The 20,169-nt window shown below is 36.7% G+C and overlaps 1 protein-coding gene across 38 annotated transcripts in view; it reads left to right on the forward strand.

Moving 5' to 3' along the window:
• Window positions 1-20,169, forward strand: part of CCDC18 (coiled-coil domain containing 18) — a 98,818-nt gene that overhangs the window by 73,793 nt on the left and 4,856 nt on the right. For 22 of the 38 annotated variants that reach the window (XM_017001164.3, XM_017001162.3, XM_017001154.3 and 19 more), the window contains 5 exons: window positions 766-909; window positions 2,630-2,833; window positions 5,043-5,180; window positions 10,996-11,196; window positions 16,642-18,661. In XM_017001164.3, coding sequence (XP_016856653.1) covers window positions 766-909; window positions 2,630-2,833; window positions 5,043-5,180; window positions 10,996-11,196; window positions 16,642-17,250 — 1,296 coding nt within the window. In that variant the 3' untranslated portion in view covers window positions 17,251-18,661. Of the gene's footprint in view, window positions 1-765; window positions 910-2,629; window positions 2,834-5,042; window positions 5,181-10,995; window positions 18,662-20,169 lie in introns of those variants that run through there. The other 16 variants (XM_011541361.4, NM_001306076.1, XM_047419492.1 and 13 more) reach the window with 6 other exon arrangements.

Raw genomic sequence — 20,169 nt, forward strand, 5'->3', positions numbered from 1 at the left:
TGCATGATTCCTTATGGACCCCTTTTCAGATGGTTGTGCTTGTAGGCTCAAGGCCAAATGGGGCTGTAGCCAAGTCCCTTGGGGACGTGGGCTGTTTCCAGGCTTGAACCCAGAAGCAAGCTTGGCATATCAGCCACCTGGGTTTCTGTCTGTGCTCTCAAAATAACACTCCCACATCTTCGTCTCTACCAGGATTTCACAAACTCCTACCTGAATCCTGAGGCTCCTGCAAAGAGGCTTTTGACTATAGAAAGGTGCAGGATTCTTTTTTTATTTTATTTTATTTTAAATTAACAGTGTTTATTTACCTCTAAGTATTGTTGAGAGACTGGGGTGAAGACACAATTTTCATTTTGTAATTTACAGACTTCTATAAGCTAAAACAAAAACAAAAAAGTCTTCTCTATTTAATATAATGGTAGAATACAACTTCTACTTTTATTTATTTTAATTTTTTAAATTTCAATCGCTTTTGGGGTACAAGTAGTTTTGGTTACATAGATACATTTTATAGTGGTGAAGTCTGAGAGGGTGCAGGATTCCTGTTGTTGTGGGGGAATATGAGTGGGTTACCCTCTATTCTGCCTTTCTGGTAATGTCCAAGAACAAGAATTTTTGTGCTTATTTCCAGGATACGATTGCCTTAACCTATTTATATTTTGCTTTTAGATATGAGTGTTTAAAGCTTGACTTACTTGGAACACAGCATTGATTAAATTACATTTCATTAATTTTACTGATACTGCTTATCTGTTTAAAATTCAGATAGAAAGTCTGAATGACAAATTACAAAATGCTAAAGAACAGCTTCGAGAAAAAGAGTTTATAATGCTACAAAATGAACAGGAGATAAGTCAACTGAAAAAAGAAATTGAAAGAACACAACAAAGGATGAAAGAAATGGAGAGTGTAAGCAAATTATTTCCACCTAAGGAACAAGTGGTAGTCTCTGTTGAGTGAAATGAATCTTTATGTTTTAAACTGGTTGGTTTTAATATACAGAAACTGTGCCATAACTGTTTTTAGGCTAGTTTTTTGTGCCAGAAACCTGTTAGTTTCTTTGACCTTTTAAAATATTTTTCTGATGGTCTAGGTATAGGCAAAGACAGTGTCTTATTTATCTCTGTATACAGGCCTTTGCATGGTATCTTTCATATAGTAAATCTACAATATATGCTTATTTGGTTGACAAATATTTATTGAGAAGCTGCTATGTAATAGAATTGAGGAGTCAGCTTTTTTTTTTTTTTTTTTTTTTTTTTTTTGAGACTGAGTCTCTCTCTGTTGCCCAGGCTGGAGTGCAGTGGCTCAATCTTGGCTCACTGCAACCTCTGCTTTCCGGGTTCCAGTGATTCTCCTGCCTCAGCCTCCCAAGTAGCTGGGATTACAGGCACCTGCCACCACGCCTGGCTAATTTTTGTATTTTTAGTAGAGATGGTGTTTCACCATATTGGCCAGGCTGGTTTTGAACTCCTGACCTTGTGATCCACCTGCCTTGGCCTCCCAAAGTGCTGGGATTACAGGCGTGAGCTACCGTGCCCGGCCGAAGAGTCAGCTATTAATAAGATACAGTGTTTTGTCTGTTAGGAACTCCATCAAAAGAATGGATAAATAAATAATTGTACATTGAGACCAAGTGCACTGAGTTGCCAGATGAAGTTTGATGACTTCATATCATCAGTATGCATGTGTGTTGACTGGTGAATTCATTCCTCCACTTGCTCTTTTAAAAAGTGAATTTAGGGTCAGGCACGATGACTCACACTTATAATCCCAGCATTTTGGGAGGCCAAGTTGGCAGAATCATTTGAGCCCAGAAATTCAAGACCAGCCTGGGCATCGTAGCAGTGGGACCCCTGTCTCTACAAAAACATTAAAAAACTAGCTAGGTGTGGTGATGCATGCCTGTGGTCCCAGCTACTTGGGAGGCTGAGATGGGAGGATTGCTTGAGCCTGGGAGGTCAAGGCTGCAGTGATTTGTGATCACGCCACTGCCCTCCAATCTGGGCAACAGAGCAGGAGCCTGTACCAAACGAAGAAGAGGAAGAAGAGGAAGAAGAGGAGGAAGAGGAAGAAGAGGAAGAAGAAGGAGGGGGGAGGGATAGTGGGGAGGAGGGGGAGGAATACTTTATTAGAAATTTAATTGAGTAATATAAAACCATTTCAGTGGGAGTAGCAGCCCCAGTGACAAGTTTTACTTTCACAGAGAGTAAGACCTTAACCCAGCTGTGTGGATTAAATGGTGGATTTTAATTATCTATACCAATATATTCTCTGTCTTTGACATAGATAATCAAATGTTAACTTCTCTTTTCTCTTTATGTTTTCTGTCATAAATGTTACATTTAAAATGATAAAAGATTATATGGCTTGTGTATGTTACAGTGATGTAATATATATCAATAAGAGTCCCAATTATGGTATTTTTGTCATTTTCTCATTAGATTTTTTTCTTGAATATCAGTTTCACAGTGGGTGATACTCATTGTATGTTAAATTTTAACATACTCATTGTATGTTAAAGGATTTAGTTGGAAGGTGGAAATTTACGTATTAAGCAAAATCAGAATAAGAAATAGGTTATCTATATATTTCATTCTGAAACCTACAAATACCTTATGCTTTTCAGGTTATGAAAGAGCAAGAACAGTACATTGCCACTCAGTACAAGGAGGCCATAGATTTGGGGCAAGAATTGAGGCTGACCCGGGAGCAGGTGCAGAACTCTCATACAGAATTGGCAGAGGCTCGTCATCAGCAAGTCCAAGCACAGAGAGAAATAGAAAGGCTCTCTAGTGAACTGGAGGATATGAAGCAACTCTCTAAAGAGAAAGTAATCCCTATTTTAAATAATCTTATGTATCTGAAATCTTACAAATATTAGCATTTTTTTTGAACTGTAGAATATAGTTCTTTCAAAAATGAACTGTATTGCACAACAGTGTGAATGTACTTAATCCCACCGAATTATACACTTAAAAATGGTTAAAATGGTCAATTTTGTGTGTATTTTACCACAATTTTAGAAAATAATGAACTGTGTTATATATAGATAACTTTGTAATATAACCAGGAAGTCCTTCAGAACTGAGTTTTGGCTAAACTAGTTCTCAAATTGAGTTATAAAGCACTTTTAGACTTTTAAGTGAGTTCGAGCTCTTACTTGAAGAAAAAATAAAGCTAATCTTTTTTGAGTAAAAATTTTTACATTTGTAGTGACTCTTAAAAATGAAAACTATTGGCTTGGCACGGTGGCTCATACCTGTAATCCCAGTACTTTGGGAGGCCGAGGCAGGCGGATAAGTAAGTCAGGAGTTTGAGACCAGCCTGGCCAATATGGTGAAACACCATCTCTACTAAAAATACAAAAAACAAAATTAGCCAGGCATGATGGTGGGCACCTATAGTCCCAGCTACTCGGGAGGCTAAGGCTGGGGAATCGCTTGAATCCCGAAGGCAGAAGTTGCAGTGAGCTGAAGTCGTGCCACTGCACCCCAGCCTGGGCGACAGAGCAAGACTCCATCTCAAAAAAAAAAAAAAAAAAAAAAAAAAAACATGAAAACTATCCAAATTTGTAACTATTAAATTTGTAACTTTTAGGAAACCTGTAGTTCAAAACCCTTGGTTGATAAAGTAACTTGGAGGTAAAGTGCTTTTAAAAAGCAAAAATACTAATATAAATTTTATTTTTCCAGTATTTGGTAGGAAGTTAACTACTTGGCTTAAAAATATTTACATTGGTATACTTGGGTTAATTATTTAGACTTTAAGAAAAATGTGTTTATTGATGTTGCAAAAAAAAAAAATTCAGCTTTCCATTGTGGTTTCCATGGTTTAATTCAATTCCATAGGAACTGAATTAAAATATTTTTACCTTTAATTTTGGTTAAGCCTACCTATGTTGTTATTCACATTTCTGGATGGTTAGACCAGTAAAGCATACATAGAGAATGTTTATTAGAGATATATTATACATTTGGGGTTCTAGGAAAAGGAAAGCTATCTACTTTTATCTCATTTCTGCCTTTATCAATAGTGTCAAAGTATAGTACAATTGGTTTTTATTTGATAAGCTAAGCTCACTTTAAAAAGTGAATTAAAGTTAGGAATTTTTTAATTGACAGTGTTTTAAATACTTATTTTAACCCAAAACTAAATATATATTGATATGTTTTTCCTTTGATGTAGGGCCAAACCTTGGTTCTTTTTGTATGAGTCATTTGATTAGAATTCTACCTAGTCTTTCTCACATAACTAGACTCCTACCTGGTCTTTCACCACACTATATTCCATCATCTATAGTTTCCAATTCTGCTTTCTTTAAAGTGGAGGAAGAATTAATTAAAAGACATTAATTAAAATTAAAATAATTAAATTAATTAAAATTAAATTAATAAAAATTAATTAATAATAATTAATTAAAAGACATTTGTAAGTGAACCATGTTATATTTTTATGGGACCTCCTACCATATTTTATAACAATTTTGAGTGTTTCTAATTGGATAGCAAAATGTTCATGACTTACTTATTAAGCTGGTTCAAAACATATAACTTAGTTTTTGGATAAAAACTTTGCATTTGCTTATTTCATCATGTTCATAATCTATAATAAAATTACACAATTAAAATTACAAGCACAGTTAGCTAAATTAGCATAAATAAGTTTGAATAAAAACACAACTGACTCTTGATAAACAGACAATATATATAGTGAGCAAAAATATACAGGCATACCTAGCAGTAGACTGTTATCTGCCAGAGTTCAGTGTCCTGAGGTTATTATTAATAGTTCATTTTATAGAAAGCATTGGTTAGTGAACATCTATTTTATGATGACAGCAAACAATTATATTAATACTCTCCCATTAATAGTCTCTGAAATGTCTAGATTTTAAAGCATACTATTTAGTAAGTTAACTTTGTGTCTGTGTTTATATAATATAAAAAATTAAACTACTTCCAATAATGCACTGGATTAGTTTAGCTATAATAACCAAATAAACAAGTTTTATAGCTTTTACTCAATATGTCATTTTTAAGGATGCTCATGGAAACCATTTAGCTGAAGAACTGGGGGCTTCTAAAGTACGTGAAGCTCATTTAGAAGCAAGAATGCAAGCAGAAATCAAGAAATTGTCAGCAGAAGTAGAATCTCTCAAAGAAGCTTATCATATGGAGGTAAAGAAAAATTTAATTTGTTTTGTTAGTGCCCACTAAAGTAGGTTGACCTATCTGGACAAAAGTATGAGTCCAGCTCTTAAGTGTTCATTATTGAATAATACATTGTGGTCTTCATTTCTGGTAGCCTAAACATACAGCTTTCACTTTAATATACTGTGGGGTTAAGAGCTTGAATTCCTGAGCCAGGCAACCTGGTTCTAAACCCTAGCTCACCACGGAGCCACCTGTATCACCTTGGGTAAGTTACTTAACCTGTGTCTAAAATGGATATAATAATAGTATCTACCTCATAGAACTGTGGTGAATATTAAATGAATTAATATATAATATAAAATAGCATTTGTAAAAGATTAACTGGAAATATTTAATAACTGATATAAACCGTTTCATGTGATGTAAATCTATAATGCTTTGCAATTTTCAGCATTTCTTCTTATAATAACTTAGCTAGAGAGATAATACTAGAGCCTTTTTATCTGTCAGCATGTCTTGAGCCTTCACAGAAATGGGCAGTATTATTGACTAGAATAGCATTTTTCATCTTTTTAAAAACTACATTTAAAGATATTACCCAAAATCTCTGTATATGATTTAAATAAATTACTTACGTTTAGTGCTAATAAAGCGTTTTTTCTAATACGGCAAGGGTTGCAAATATTTATGTTAAACTCCATTCAAGGGAGTTTGGTGACATTTTTGTGAGTGATTGGTAGGGCTTGTGGGGACCATGTCTTGCTTAAATACATTTAGAATCATATCTCTTTGAAAGCATTGTGCCTGCCAAACAAAACATATTTACAAGCTGAATCTAATCCTAAGGCTAAGAATTTGCAACCTTTGATCTTTAGCGACAAACCTGAATGAATGCTGTTGGACTCAGCATAATTATATAATTGTTATTAACAGCTCAGCTTAGTAACTATCAGTAATAATTAGGCGCTTTCAAGTGTTTGCCCTTAACTACTCATTACACTTTCATTATATGGCCTCTGTTCTGTTTTTAAGTATAATTATCCAATTGTTTCTTTTAGTTTTATAAGCCACCTGAAATTATAAATAGATTGTACATAAAATAAATTGTAAAATTAGTTCAGTATTGCTATCTTTTTAAAAAAGTGATGGGGTCTGTGTTGCTCAGACTGGCCTCAAATTCCAGAGCTCAGATAACCCTCCCCACTCAGCCTCTAAGTAGCTGGGAGTAAAAGCACACGCCAGCCGGGCGCAGTGGCTCACACCTGTAATCCCAGTGCTTTGGGAGGCCAAGGCAGGTGGATCTCTTGAGGTCAGGAGTTCGAGACCAGCCTGACCAACATGGCAAAACCCCGTCTCTACTAAAAATACAAAAATTAGCTGGGTGTGGTGGCGCATGCCTATAATCCCAGCTACTCAGGAGGCTAAGGCAGCAGAATTGCTTGAACCTGGGAGGCAGAGGTTGCAGTAAGCCAAGATCGCGCCATTGCAGTCAAGTCTGCGTGACAAGAGTGAAACTCCGTCTCAAAAAAAATAAGTACATGCTGCTGCATTTTAATATTTAATATTACTATTTAATATTTGATACTAATATTTTGTCTATAATATTGAAGTATATATTTTTACCTGTTTGGAAGTTGATAAAAATTTACTTTTAAAATATATATGTTGTTTGAATATAAAAATGAGAGGATATGGTATTAAAGTAATAGAGAGCTAGAAAAGAGGATCAATAATTTTTAACAGTTTTTTTTATTATACTTTCTTTTTTTTTTAATACATTAAGTTCTGGGGTACGTGTGCAGAACATGCAGTTTTGTTACATAGGTATACACATGCCATGGTGGTTTGCTGTACCCATCAACCTGTCACCTACATTAGGTATTTCTCCTAATGTTATCCCTCCTCTAATCCCCCACCACCCAACAGGCCCCGATGTGTGATGTTCCCCTCCCTAGGTCTATGTGTTCTCATTGTTTAACTCCCACTTATGAGTGAGAACATGCGGTGTTTGGTTTTCTGTTCTTGTGATAATTTGCTGAGAATGATGGTTTCCAGCTTCATCCATGTCCCTGCAAAGGACGTGAACTCATCCTTTTTTATGGCTGCATAGTATTCCATGGTGTATATGTGCCACATTTTCTTTATCCAGTCTATTATTGATGGACATTTGGGTTGGTTCCAAGTCTTTGTTATTGTGAATAGTGCTGCAATAAACATACATGTGCATGTGTCTTTATAGTAGAATGATTTATAATCCTTTGGGTATATACCCAGTAATGGGATGGCTGGGTCAAATGGTATTTCCAGTTCGAGATCAACAGTATTTTTTAATATATAGGTTTCCAAATTGTCAGAAAATCACTTAATAATAAATGTAAAACTCCTGACTTATTGGAGGAGAATGAGATTGTTTTAACCTTTAATTGTGAAAAATTTAAATATATTTAAAAATAGAATAGTATAAATAGTATATACATCCTCATATTTATTTTTGAACGTTAATAATTTTCAATGCATAGCCAATTTATTTCATCCATAAATACATTGACCATTTTCTTTATCTAAAAGAGAATACTTTTGAGAATGAAAAGGAATGCTATAGTAATTACATGAGGGTACCAGGCATAAAACCTAGACAGTCCTAAGCATTCTCGGAAGTGTGTCAACATACCTTTAACCTTTGAAAGCACAGTGCTTTCAAAGAGATATGATTCTAAATGTATTTAAGCAAGACATGGTCCCCACAAGCCCCACCAATCTAAGCAAGACATGGTCCCCCAAGCCACATCAATCACCCACAAAAATGTTACCAAACTCCCTTGAATGGAGTTTAACATAAATGTTAAACCCATTCCCAACCCATCCCCCATATTCACATATTATTTGAAGCAAATTTTAGACATAATTATTTCATCTGTAAATAATTATGTAGACATAATTATTCTATATTCAATAAGTATCTTGTATTAGTCCATTTTCCATTAGTCCATTAGTCCATTTTCACACTGCTATAAAGAAATACCTGAGATTGGGTAATTTATAAAGAAAAGAGCTTTAATTAACTCACAGTTTCACATGGCTGGGGACACCTCGGGAAACTTACAATCATGGCAGAAGGTTAAGGGAAAGCAAGGCATGTCTTACATGGCAGCAGGAGAGAAAGAGTGTGTAAATGCCACACTTTTAAACCATCAGATCTCATGAGAATGAACTTACTATCATGAGAACAGCTTGGGGGAACCACCCCCATGATCCAATCAGCTCCCACCAGGTACCTTCCTCCACATGTGAGGATTACAATTTGAGATGAGATTCGGGTGGGGACACAGAGCCAAGCCATATCATTCCAACCCTGGCCCCTCCCAGATCTCTTGTCCTTCTCACATTTCAAAACACAATCATGCCTTCCCAACAGAACCCCAAAGTCTTAACTCATTCCAGCATTAACCCAAAAGTCCAAGTCCAAAGTCTTATCTGAGACAAGCCTTCCATCTATGAGCCTATAAAATAAAAAACAAGTTAGTTACTTCCAAGATACAATGGGGGTACAGGCATTGGGTAAATGCTCCCCTTCCAAATGGGAAAAATTTGCCAAAACAAAGAGGCTGCAAGGCCCATGCAAATCTGAAACCCAGTGGAGCAGTCATTAAATGTTAAAGCTCCAAAATAATCTCCTTTGACTCCATGTCTCACATCCAAGCTACACTGATGCAAGGGGTGGACTCCCAAAGTTCTGGGCAGCTCCACCCCTGTGGTTCTGCAGGGTACAGCCCCTGTGGCTGTTTTCATGGGCTGGCGTTGAGTGCCTGGGGCTTTTCCAAGTGCACGGTGCAAGCTGTTGGTGGATCTACCATTCTGGGGTCTAGAGAATGGTGGCCCTCTTCTTACAGCTCCACTACCCAGTGCCCCGGTGGGGACTCTGTGTGGGGGCTCCAACCTCACATTTCTCCTCTGTACTGCCTTAGTAGAGGTTCTCCATGAGGGCTCCACCTCCACAGCAGACTTCTGCTTGGACTTCCAGGCATTTCCACACATCCTCTGAAATCTAGGCAGAGCCTCCCAAAGCTCAACTCTTGTCTTCTGTGCACCTGCAGACTTAACACCACATGGAAGCTGCCAAGGTGTGGGGCTTGCACCCTCTGAAGCAATGGTCTGAGCTGTACCTTGACCCCTTTTAGCCATGGGTGGAGCTGAAGCAACAGCAATACAGGTCACCCCGTCTTGAGGCTGCACAGAGCAGTGGGGCTCTGAGCCTGGCCCACAAAACCATTTTTTCCTCCTAGATATCCAGGCTTGTGATGGGAGAGGCTTCCTTGAAGATCTCTGAAATGGCCTGGAGTCATTTTCCCCATTGTCTTGGCAATATTTAGCTCCTCATTACTTAAGAAGATTTCTGCAGCGAGCTTGAATTTCTCCCCATAAAATGGGTTTTTCTTTTCTACCACATGGCCAAGCTGCAATTTTTTTTTAACTTTTATGCTCTGCTTCCCTTTTAAACATAAGTTCCAATTTCAGATCATCTCTTTGTGAATGCATATGACTGTACACTTTCACAAAAGCCAGATCACCTCTTGAATCCTTAAAAATTTCTTCTCTCAGAGACCCTAAATCATCTCTCTCAACTTCAAAGTTCCACAGATCTCTGGGGTGGGGGCAAAATGCCACTGGTCTCTTTGCTAAAACATACAAGATACTCTAGTTTCCAATAAGTTTCTCATCTCCATCTGAGACCACCTGAGCTTGCACTTCATTGTCCATATCACTATCAGCATTTTAGTCAAAACCATTTGACAAGTCTGTAGGAAGTTCCAAACTTTCTCACATCTTCCTGTCTTCTGATTCCTCCAAACTGTTCTAACCTCTGCCCATTACCCAGTTCCAAAGTCACTTCCACATTTTCAGGTTATCTTTATAGTAGTACCCCACTATTCTGATACCAGTTTTCTGTTATTAGTCCATTTTCACAGTGCTATAAAAACTGTGAGTCAATTAAACCTCTTTTCCTTATAAATTACACAGTCTTAGGGCTGGTGTGAGTGCCTGAGGCTTTTCCAGGTGAAGGTGCAAGGGCTGTCGCTGGATCTACCATTCTGGGGTCTGGAGAATGGTGACAGTTGCAGGGTAATTTATAAAGAAAAGAGGTTTAATTGACTCACAGTTCCACATGGCTTGGGAGGCCTCAGGAAAATTACAATTCTTATGATTATGGCAGAAGGGGAAGCAAGTCATGTCTTACATGGTGGTGGGAGACAAGAGAGCAAGAGGGGAAGTGTCACACTTTTAAACGATCAGATCTCATGAGAACTCACTATCATGAGAACAGCATGGGTGAAACCATCCCCATGACCCAATCACCTCCCACCAGGTTGCTCCTTTGACATACAGGAATTACAATTCAAGATGAAGCCTGGATGGGGATACGGAGCCAAACTGTAACATAGCTCTAAAAGATAAGGGCTATTTTTTGGAACAGAACCACAATACCATGATCACACCTAAAAATTGACAGTGACTCCTTAATATCATCAAATACCCAATCATTGTTCACATTTCCCCAATTGTCTCAAAAATGTCTTTATAGTTTATTTGTTCAAATCAGTACCCAAATAGAGTCCATTGCATTTGGTTAATTAAGTTCTTAAGTAAATTGAAGATTATGGATTCCTTTGTTCCCTTTTTCCTCTAGTATTCATTGAGAAATCAGATGTTTGTAACTATAAACAGAATTTACTTTTTTTAAAGAAAAAGTAAATAAAAGTAGAAAGCATTAGACTGTTGTCGAATCCAGTTTCCTTCCATTTTTTTATTTTTTTTCTTTTCCAATTCTGGGGCTATATAGATGATTTCACATCAAGAGAACCATGCAAAGTGGAAGATTTCTGCTGACTCTCAAAAGTCTTCTGTTCAGCAACTAAACGAACAGTTAGAGAAGGCAAAATTGGAATTAGAAGAAGCTCAGGATACTGTAAGCAATTTGCATCAACAAGTCCAAGATAGGAATGAAGTAATTGAAGCTGCAAATGAAGCATTACTTACTAAAGTAAGTAAACATATAAAAGTAATAAAGCATATCTATGAAAACATAAATGTCTGACTTATTTACCTGTCTTAGTAGTTTATAGAGGACTATATGACCAAATATTGGCCTGTTTGAATAAAAACCATTTGATTTAGAAGATGTTGAATTTAGGAAATTATTAAGATGATGTACATCTTATTACCGTAGAAGATATAATTTATAAATGTTCAAATATAAACTCATCTAATCATAATGTTTAGAGGGTTTTATACTTGATGTACCTAAAAAAAGGTAGAAACATTTTTCAAAATCAGCAAAGTTCTTTTAAAATCATAAAGTAGGCCGGGCGTGGTGGCTCACTCCTGTATTCCCAGCACTTCAGGAGGCCGAGGTGGGCAGATCACTTGAGGTCAACAAGGGCAAAGACAATTTTTTGAGAGCCATGAAGGCATCATTATATTATGGCTCACTACAATTACGTTCACAACAGTGACCTTCTTTGAGTCTTAAGAAAAAGTTGAATTAATTTAATGTATTCAGTGTACTATATTTAATTGTAAAAGTTATGTGTTAAACTGTAACTTAAATAAAATCCTACTTATATGAGATACCACATATCAATTATGGCTAGATAATGCAGAATAGGAAAAAGAAAAAGACTGCAGCTGTGTACAGTCCTATTCTGTGCCAACTCTACAACTGTTTTGTTAATTGTGATTTTAAGAATGTGAATGTAGGATTTACAACAAAAAATTGGCACTCTAGCCACTTTAAACCAACAGGCTTTAAACCAACAAAGATCAAAAGAGACCAAGAAGGCCATTACATAATGGTAAAGGGATCAATTCAACAAGAAGAGCTAACTGTCCTAAATATATATGCACCCAATACAGGAGCACCCAGATTCATAAGTCAAGTCCTTAGAGACCTACAAAGAGACTTAGACTCCCACACAATAATAATGGGAGACTTTAACACCCCACTGTCAACATTAGACAGATCAACGAGACAGAAAATCAACAAGGATATCCAGGACTTGAACTCAGCTCTGCACCAAGCAGACCTAATAGACATCGACAGAACTCTCCACTGCAAATCAACAGAATATACATTCTTCTCAGCACCAAATCACACTTCTGCCAAAATTGACCACATAGTTGGAAATAAAGCATTCTTCAGCAAATGTAAAAGAATAGAAATCACCACAAACTGTCTCTGAGACAACAGTGAAATCAAATTAGAACTCAGGATTAAGAAACTCACTCAGAACCACACAACTCATGAAAACTGAACAACCTCCTTCTGAATGACTACTGGGTACATAACGAAATGAAGGCAGAAATGAAGATGTTCTTTGAAACCAATGAGAACAAAGACACAACATACCAGAATCTCTGGGACACATTTAAAGCAGTGTGGAGAGGGAAATTTATAGCACTAAATGCCCACAAGAGAAAGCAGGAAAGATCTAAAATTGACATCCTGACATCACAATTAAAAGAGCTAGAGAAGCAAGAGCAAACACATTCAAAAGCTAGCAGAAGGCAAGAAATAAGTAAGATCAGAGCAGAACTGAAGGAGATAGAGACACAAAAAACCCTTCAAAAAATCAATGAATCCAGGAGCTGGTTTTTAGAAAAGATCAACAAAATTGATAGACCGCTAGCAAGACTAATAAAGAAGAAAAGAGAGAAGAATCAAATAGAGGCAATAAAAAATGATAAAGAGGATATCACCACTGATCCCATAGAAATACAAACTACCATCAGAGAATACTATAAACACCTCTACACAAATAAACTAGAAAACCTAGAAGAAATGGATAAAGTCCTCGACACATACACCCTCCCAAGACTAAACCAGGAAGAAGTTGAATCCCTGAGTAGACCAACAACAGGTTCTGAAATTGAGGCAGTAATTAATAGCCTACCAACCAAAAAAAGTCCAGGACCAGACAGATTCATAGCTGAATTCTACCAGAGGTACAAAGAGGAGCTGGTACCATTCCTTCTGAAACTATTCTAATCAATAGAAAAAGAGAGAATCCTCCCTAACTCATTTTCTGAGGCCAGCATCATCCTGATACCAAGGCCTGGCAGAGACGCAACAAAAAAAGAGAATTTTAGACCAATATCCCTGATGAACATCGATGCAAAAATCCTCAATAAAATACTGGCAAACCGAATCCAGCAGCACATCAAAAAGCTTATCCACCACAATTAAGTTGGCTTCATCCCTGGGATGCATGGCTGGTTCAACATACGCAAATCAATAAATGTAATCCATCACATGAACCAAACCAAAGACAAAAACCACATGATTATCTCAATAGATGCAGAAAAGGCTTTCAACAAAATTCAACAGCCCTTCATGCTAAAAACTCTCAAACTAGGTATTGATGGGACATATCTCAAAATAATAAGAGCTATTTATTACAAACCCACAGCCAATATCATACTGAATGGGCAAAAACTGGAAGCATTCCCTTTGAAAACTGGCACAAGACAGGGGTGCCCTCTCTCACCACTCCTATTCAACATAGTGTTGGAAGTTCTGGCCAGGGCAATCAGGCAGGAGAAAGAAAGAAAGGGTATTCAATTAGGAAAAGAGGAAGTCAAACTGTCCCTGTTTGCAGATGACATGATTGTATATTTAGAAAACCCTATCATCTCAGCCCCAAATCTCCTTAAGCTGATAACTTCAGCAAAGTCTCAGGATACAAAATCAATGTGCAAAAATAACAAGCATTCTTATACACCAATAACCGACCAACAGAGAGCCAAATTATGAGTGAACTCCCATTCACAATTGCTTCAAAGAGAATAAAATACCTAGGAATCCAACTTACAAGGGATGTGAAGGATCTCCAAGGAGAACTACAAACCACTGCTCAATGAAATAAAAGAGGACACAAACAAATGGGAGAACATTCCATGCTCATGGATAGGAAGAATCAATATAATGAAAATGGCCATACTGCCCAAGGTAATTTATAGATTCAATGCCATCTCCATCAAGCTGCCAATTACTTTCTTCACAAAACTGGAAAACAACTACCTTAAAGTTCATATGGAACCAAAAAAGAGCCCACACAGCCAAGACAATCCTAAGCCAAAAGAAAAAAGCTGGAGGCATCACGCTTCCTGACTACAGGGCTACAGTAACCAAAACAGCATGGTACTGGTACCAAAACAGAGATATAGACCAATGGAACACAACAGATCCCTCAGAAATAACACCACACATCTACAACCATCTGATCTTTGACAAACCTGACAAAAACAAGAAATGGGGAAAGGATTCCCTATTTAATAAATGGTGCTGGAAAAACTGGCTAGCCATATGTAGAAAGGTGAAACTGGATCCCTTCCTTACACCTTATACAAAAATTAATTCAAGATGGATTAAAGACTTAAATGTTAGACCTAAAACTATAAAAACCCTAGAAGAAAACCTAGGCAATACCATTGCCTAGGCATGGGCATAGGCATGGGCAAGGACTTCATGACTGAAACACCAAAAGAAATGGCAACAAAAACCAAAATAGACAAATGGGATCTAATTAAAGAGCTTCTGCACAGCAAAAGAAACTACCATCAGAGTGAACAGGCAACCTACAGAATGGGAGAAAATTTTTGCAATCTACTCATCTGACAAAGGGCTAATATCCAGAATCTACAAAGAACTTAAACAAATTTACAAGAAAAAAACAACCCCATCAAAAAGTGGGAGAAGGATATGAACAGACACTTCTCAAAAGAAGACATTTATGCAGCCAACAGACACATGAAAAAATGTTCATCATCACTGGTCATCAGAGAAATGCAAATCAAAACCACAATGAGATACCATCTCACACCAGTTAGAATGGTGATCATTAAAAAGTCAGGAAACAACAGGTGCTGGAGAGGATGTGGAGAACTAGGAACACTTTTACACTGTTGGTGGGACTGTAAACTAGTTCAACCATTGTGGAAGACAGTGTGGCGATTCCTCAAGGATCTAGAACTAGAAATACCATTTGACCCAGCCATCCCATTACTGGGTATATACCCAAAGTACTATAAATCATGCTGCTATAAAGACACATGCACATGTATGTTTATTGCGGCACTATTCACAATAGGAAAGACTTGGAACCAACCCAAATGTCCATCAGTGATAGACTAGATTCAGAAAATGTGGCACATATACACCATGGAATACTATGCAGCCATAAAAAAGGATGAGTTCATGTCCTTTGTAGGGACATGGATAAAGCTGGAAACCATCATCCTGAGCAAACTATTGCAAGGACAAAAAACCAAACACCGCATGTTCTCACTCATAGGTGGAAATCGAACAATGAGAACACTTGGACACAGGGTGGGGAACATCACACACTGGGGCCTGTTGTGGGGTGGGGGGAGGGGGGAGGGATAGCATTAAGAGAAATCCCTAATGTAAATGACGAGTTAATGGGTGCAGCACACCAACATGGCACATGTATACATATGTAACAAACCTGCACGTTGAGTACATGTACCCTAGAACTTAAAGTATTTTTAAAAAATCATATAAATCAATTTTAGATGAAGTAGTAAAAAAAAAAAAAAAGGAAAATACCAAAATATGCGTGTTAAACTTTTATTTTGTAATGCATTCTGTGGTTATGACAGTTTTAGTTATGAACACAGTATTTTTGAAAGCTACTTTAAGAATAGAAACTATCAGAGTAAAACTGACAGGATTTAGAAATATATATCTTATGGATACCTTTAAGAAAAGGCAAATGTATTTGAAGAGGAGACTACTATACTTACATTATTAAGCTTTTGAAATTAAAATATCATCTCTTTTTTTAGGCTTTTTGGTTTTTTAGTGTATGTAGTCTCATTCCTAGGATCCCAAAGTTCAGTCAGAGGACCCAAATGAAAGACATGAAAAAAATTGAAATGAAAAGTTTATTTAACAAGGATTGATTTATTAAAAATTTATCACTTTAAGTTTTTGAAAAATTTCTAATGCACTAAAGCTTTCTTGTAATGAGAACACAAAAAGCAGAATAGCTTATCTATTTATTCCCTACTGGAAATTCTGAAAGGGGTCTTTTTGTGTCTATATGTGTTAGATTAACAAAAGATAGCGTACCTCTACATCTTTGCAGAGAAATTTTTAGGTGTAAGATTTCAATCTTGAATAGAAATTGATATTGTCATTAACACCAAAAATATATATATAAGGAGAATCTAGTTTTAATGGAATTTCTTAGAATAAGCATATTTCAAAGGAATATGTGTAATTTTCCCAAAGTGAACCTATCTTAAGTAAAGGTTTTAAACAGAGCTTGGAAAACTCTCAAGAATTATAAACAGAATTCCTATAGTGGGACAAAGGTTGACTTTCTAAAAGTCTATGATTTTCTAAGGAGTTCATTCATTTAACAAAAATGTATTGAGCACCTACTATGTACCAATTTATCTGCAGGAATCAGAATTAACCAGATTACAGGCCAAAATTTCTGGACATGAAAAGGCAGAAGACATCAAGTTTCTGCCAGCCCCATTTACATCTCCAACAGAAATTATGCCTGATGTTCAAGATCCAAAATTTGCTAAATGTTTTCACACATCTTTTTCCAAGTGTACAAAATTACGTCGCTCTATTAGTGCCAGTGATCTTACTTTCAAAATTCATGGTGATGAAGATCTTTCTGAAGAATTACTACAGGACTTAAAGAAAATGCAATTAGAACAGCCTTCAACATTAGAAGAAAGCCATAAGAATCTGACTTACACCCAGCCAGACTCATTTAAACCTCTCACATATAACCTAGAAGCTGATAGTTCTGAGAATAATGACTTTAACACGCTTAGTGGGATGCTAAGATACATAAACAAAGAAGTAAGACTATTAAAAAAGTCTTCTATGCAAACAGGTGCTGGTTTAAATCAGGTATGTATTTTATACACTGTAAACTGTAATAATTTGTTTCCAAAGAATATCATTTTATTACTTGGAAGAAAATTCATATATTTAAATGAAAAACTACTAATATTTGAAGAAGGAAGATTTTACATTTTATACATTAAGTAAAATCAATACCAAAAGACATTTTCTCTATTGCATGGTGTGAGACAATACGGGGAAAGAGAGAGGCAGAGGGAGACAGAACAGGAAGTAGAACGAAAAATAGGAAGATAGACATGAAAGTGCTTAAAAATAAAAAAATTAAAAAACTGAAAAAAAGAAAAATGGTAAGAAATATGCAGTGAGAGGAATCCAGAGAAAGTAGGTTCTGAGGTGAATGTTCTCATAACTTCGTCATAATTTACTGTTCATTTGGGCTCTGTATGTCAAAATAAGTTATTGCTGGCTATCACTGATCCTTGGAAAGTTGATTTACTGAATTAGCCATTATTTAAAAGCATGAATAAGGCCAACTGTCCTCATCCTTATAATTTTTCACCCTAAAATATTTATATTCATCTTTCCTTCTTTTGTCCCTTTTCTCTTTAAAAGAAAGATATATCCCTCTTCTTTTTTAGAGAGAAATTCTTGAACATGTACTTTCAAGCCTTTAATATGCTTGCCTGTTTTGCTTCTCTGCTTCCTGATTTAATCTGTATCTTCAGGCTTCTTTATTTCCCTCTTCCTTTCATTTCCAGACATCTTAAATTCATACCCACTCTAAGCTGGGTGCAGTGGCACATGCCTGCAATCCCAGCTATCCAGGAGGCTGAGGCAGGAGGATTATTTGAGCCCAGGAGTTTGAGACAAGTATGGGCAACATGGAGACCCCATCTCAAAAAAAATTTTTATTCATTCTATTTCTCCATTGTTGCTACCTCCTTACTACCCTTCCCACTTTGTAACTTACTGTATTTGTCTCTTGAATATTAAATTTACTGTTTTCTTGAAAGTCACAAAAAACTCTTTGTATAATAAACAAATTTAGTATCCTCTTTTTCTTCAGCTTTTGTAGATTTAACTGTCCATTCCCCCTTTTGATATTTTCTCTTCTCTTGACTTTTATGATTTAATATTTTTCTGGTCCTCTTCTTATTTTGAACTAATTACTTTCTCACTTTTCTGCTCCTCGTATTCCTTATGTTCCACAATATAGGATTTAATCTGTAGTTTGAGAATGGAAATAATCTCCTTTAGATAATGTCAGCTTTTTAAAAAATGCCTAACATCATTTTCAAACACATCAAGATAGCTTTGGTGGCCTGAACAGTTAAAAACTATTTTTTTGGAATAGATCCAAGACAAAGAAAAATTGTTGAGTGAGTTTTTCTTCATAATACTTATTTTTGCTGGCTTAAGTATATGTCTATCTACTTGTTTATTGATTGTCTCCCCCACTGAAAATGTAAGCTCTGTGTGGAGAGGGTATGGTCATTTCGCTTATTTCTATATTTCTAGTGCCTGGTATATAGTAGATGCTGAATGAATATTTATGAATGTATCAAGTGGCTAAATAAATTATATACAGTAAACACAACTGTAGTTTTAAATGCTAGATTTCATCAGGCTGTGCTGGCCAAAATTTCACTTTTAGCATATTACTTTTAGCACCCAAGAAGTTAAAGATTCAGTAAAGGTAACTGAGAAGTAATCAGTGAAATAGAAGAGAAATTAGGAGAGTATAATATTTCACAATGTATTTCAAGGAGGGTGAGATCAATTGTGTCCAGTGTTGCTAAGTAAAGTGAAGGTTGATTATTGACTATCATATTTGGTAATGTCGAGGCTTTTATGACCCTCATAAGACTGGCTTTAGCCTAACAATGGGAATGAAAGCCTGTTGTAGAGTGGGTTTAGCATAGAATGGAAAGAGAGGAAATAGAAACATCAAGAATAGACAACTCTTTGGATAAAGAGTAAAGCAGAGAAATGAGGGAGATGTGATGTCAAGGGAGAGTTTTTTGTTTTGCTTTTTAACATAAGAGAGAAAACAGCTGTTGGATATTGATAGGAATGATCCAGTAGACAGGGAAACAGCCATTCAAGACAGAGCAGAAGGAGTAAAATCCTTAAGGTAGGCTTAAGAAATGGGATACAGGAGAGCAGTAGAGGAGTTGGTCTTGGATAAAAAGGGGCAGTTCATCCACTGTGGTGGGAAGGCAGGCAGAATATGGGAGCACAGAAACACATGGAATGGAAGGTTTGATAGTGGGAGAGAAATTTCTTTATCAATTGCTTTTCTTTTCTTTTTTTTTTTGAGACGGAGTCTGGCTGTGTTGCCCAGGCTGGAGTGCAGTGGCGCAATCTTGGCTCACTGCAAGCTCCGCCTCCCAGGTTCACGCCATTCTCCTGCCTCAGCCTCCCGAGTAGCTGGGACTACAGGCGCCCGCCACCACGCCCGGCTAATTTTTTGTATTTTTAGTAGAGACGGGGTTTCACTGTGTTAGCCAGGATGGTCTCGATCTCCTGACCTCGTGATCTGCCTGCCTCTGCCTCCCAAAGTGCTGGGATTACAGGCGTGAGCCATCGTGCCCGGCCAATTGCTTTTATTTTCTTAGTGAGATAAGAAGCAGGGTTTTTAGTTAAGGCACAGTAAGATATTGGATATTTAAGAACAGGGAAGGTATGTGAAATGGTTACTTACTTTGGAGAGTAGGAAAGCATAAACAGACTAGCAAAGTCTAGTAGAATTGCCAGCCAGATAGTTCTGTCATGTGGAACAACCGTGCAAGATACAGGACATCTGGCATCATTTGTTTCTGCCTGTTGTATATCAGCAGCAGCATGTCCCTTTCTCCCCTATCACAATGACAAACAAAAAGTACCATCACAAATTTCTAGAATGTTCTGTAGAGGATGGTACTGCACCCTTTAAGAACCTCTGCTCTACTCCAGTGACCCTTGCAGTCATAGATATGCAAGACTCTCTTTTTGGTAAAAATCGCACCTAATTTATGCAGGATAAATTTGATAAGTACAGTGACAGACTGTGATCATAACAATACATAGCCTTTACTGTATGTCAAGCAAATCCTTTACATAAAT

This window comes from Homo sapiens, chromosome 1 (assembly GCF_000001405.40).
Source record: "Homo sapiens chromosome 1, GRCh38.p14 Primary Assembly".
NCBI lineage: Eukaryota > Metazoa > Chordata > Mammalia > Primates > Hominidae > Homo > Homo sapiens.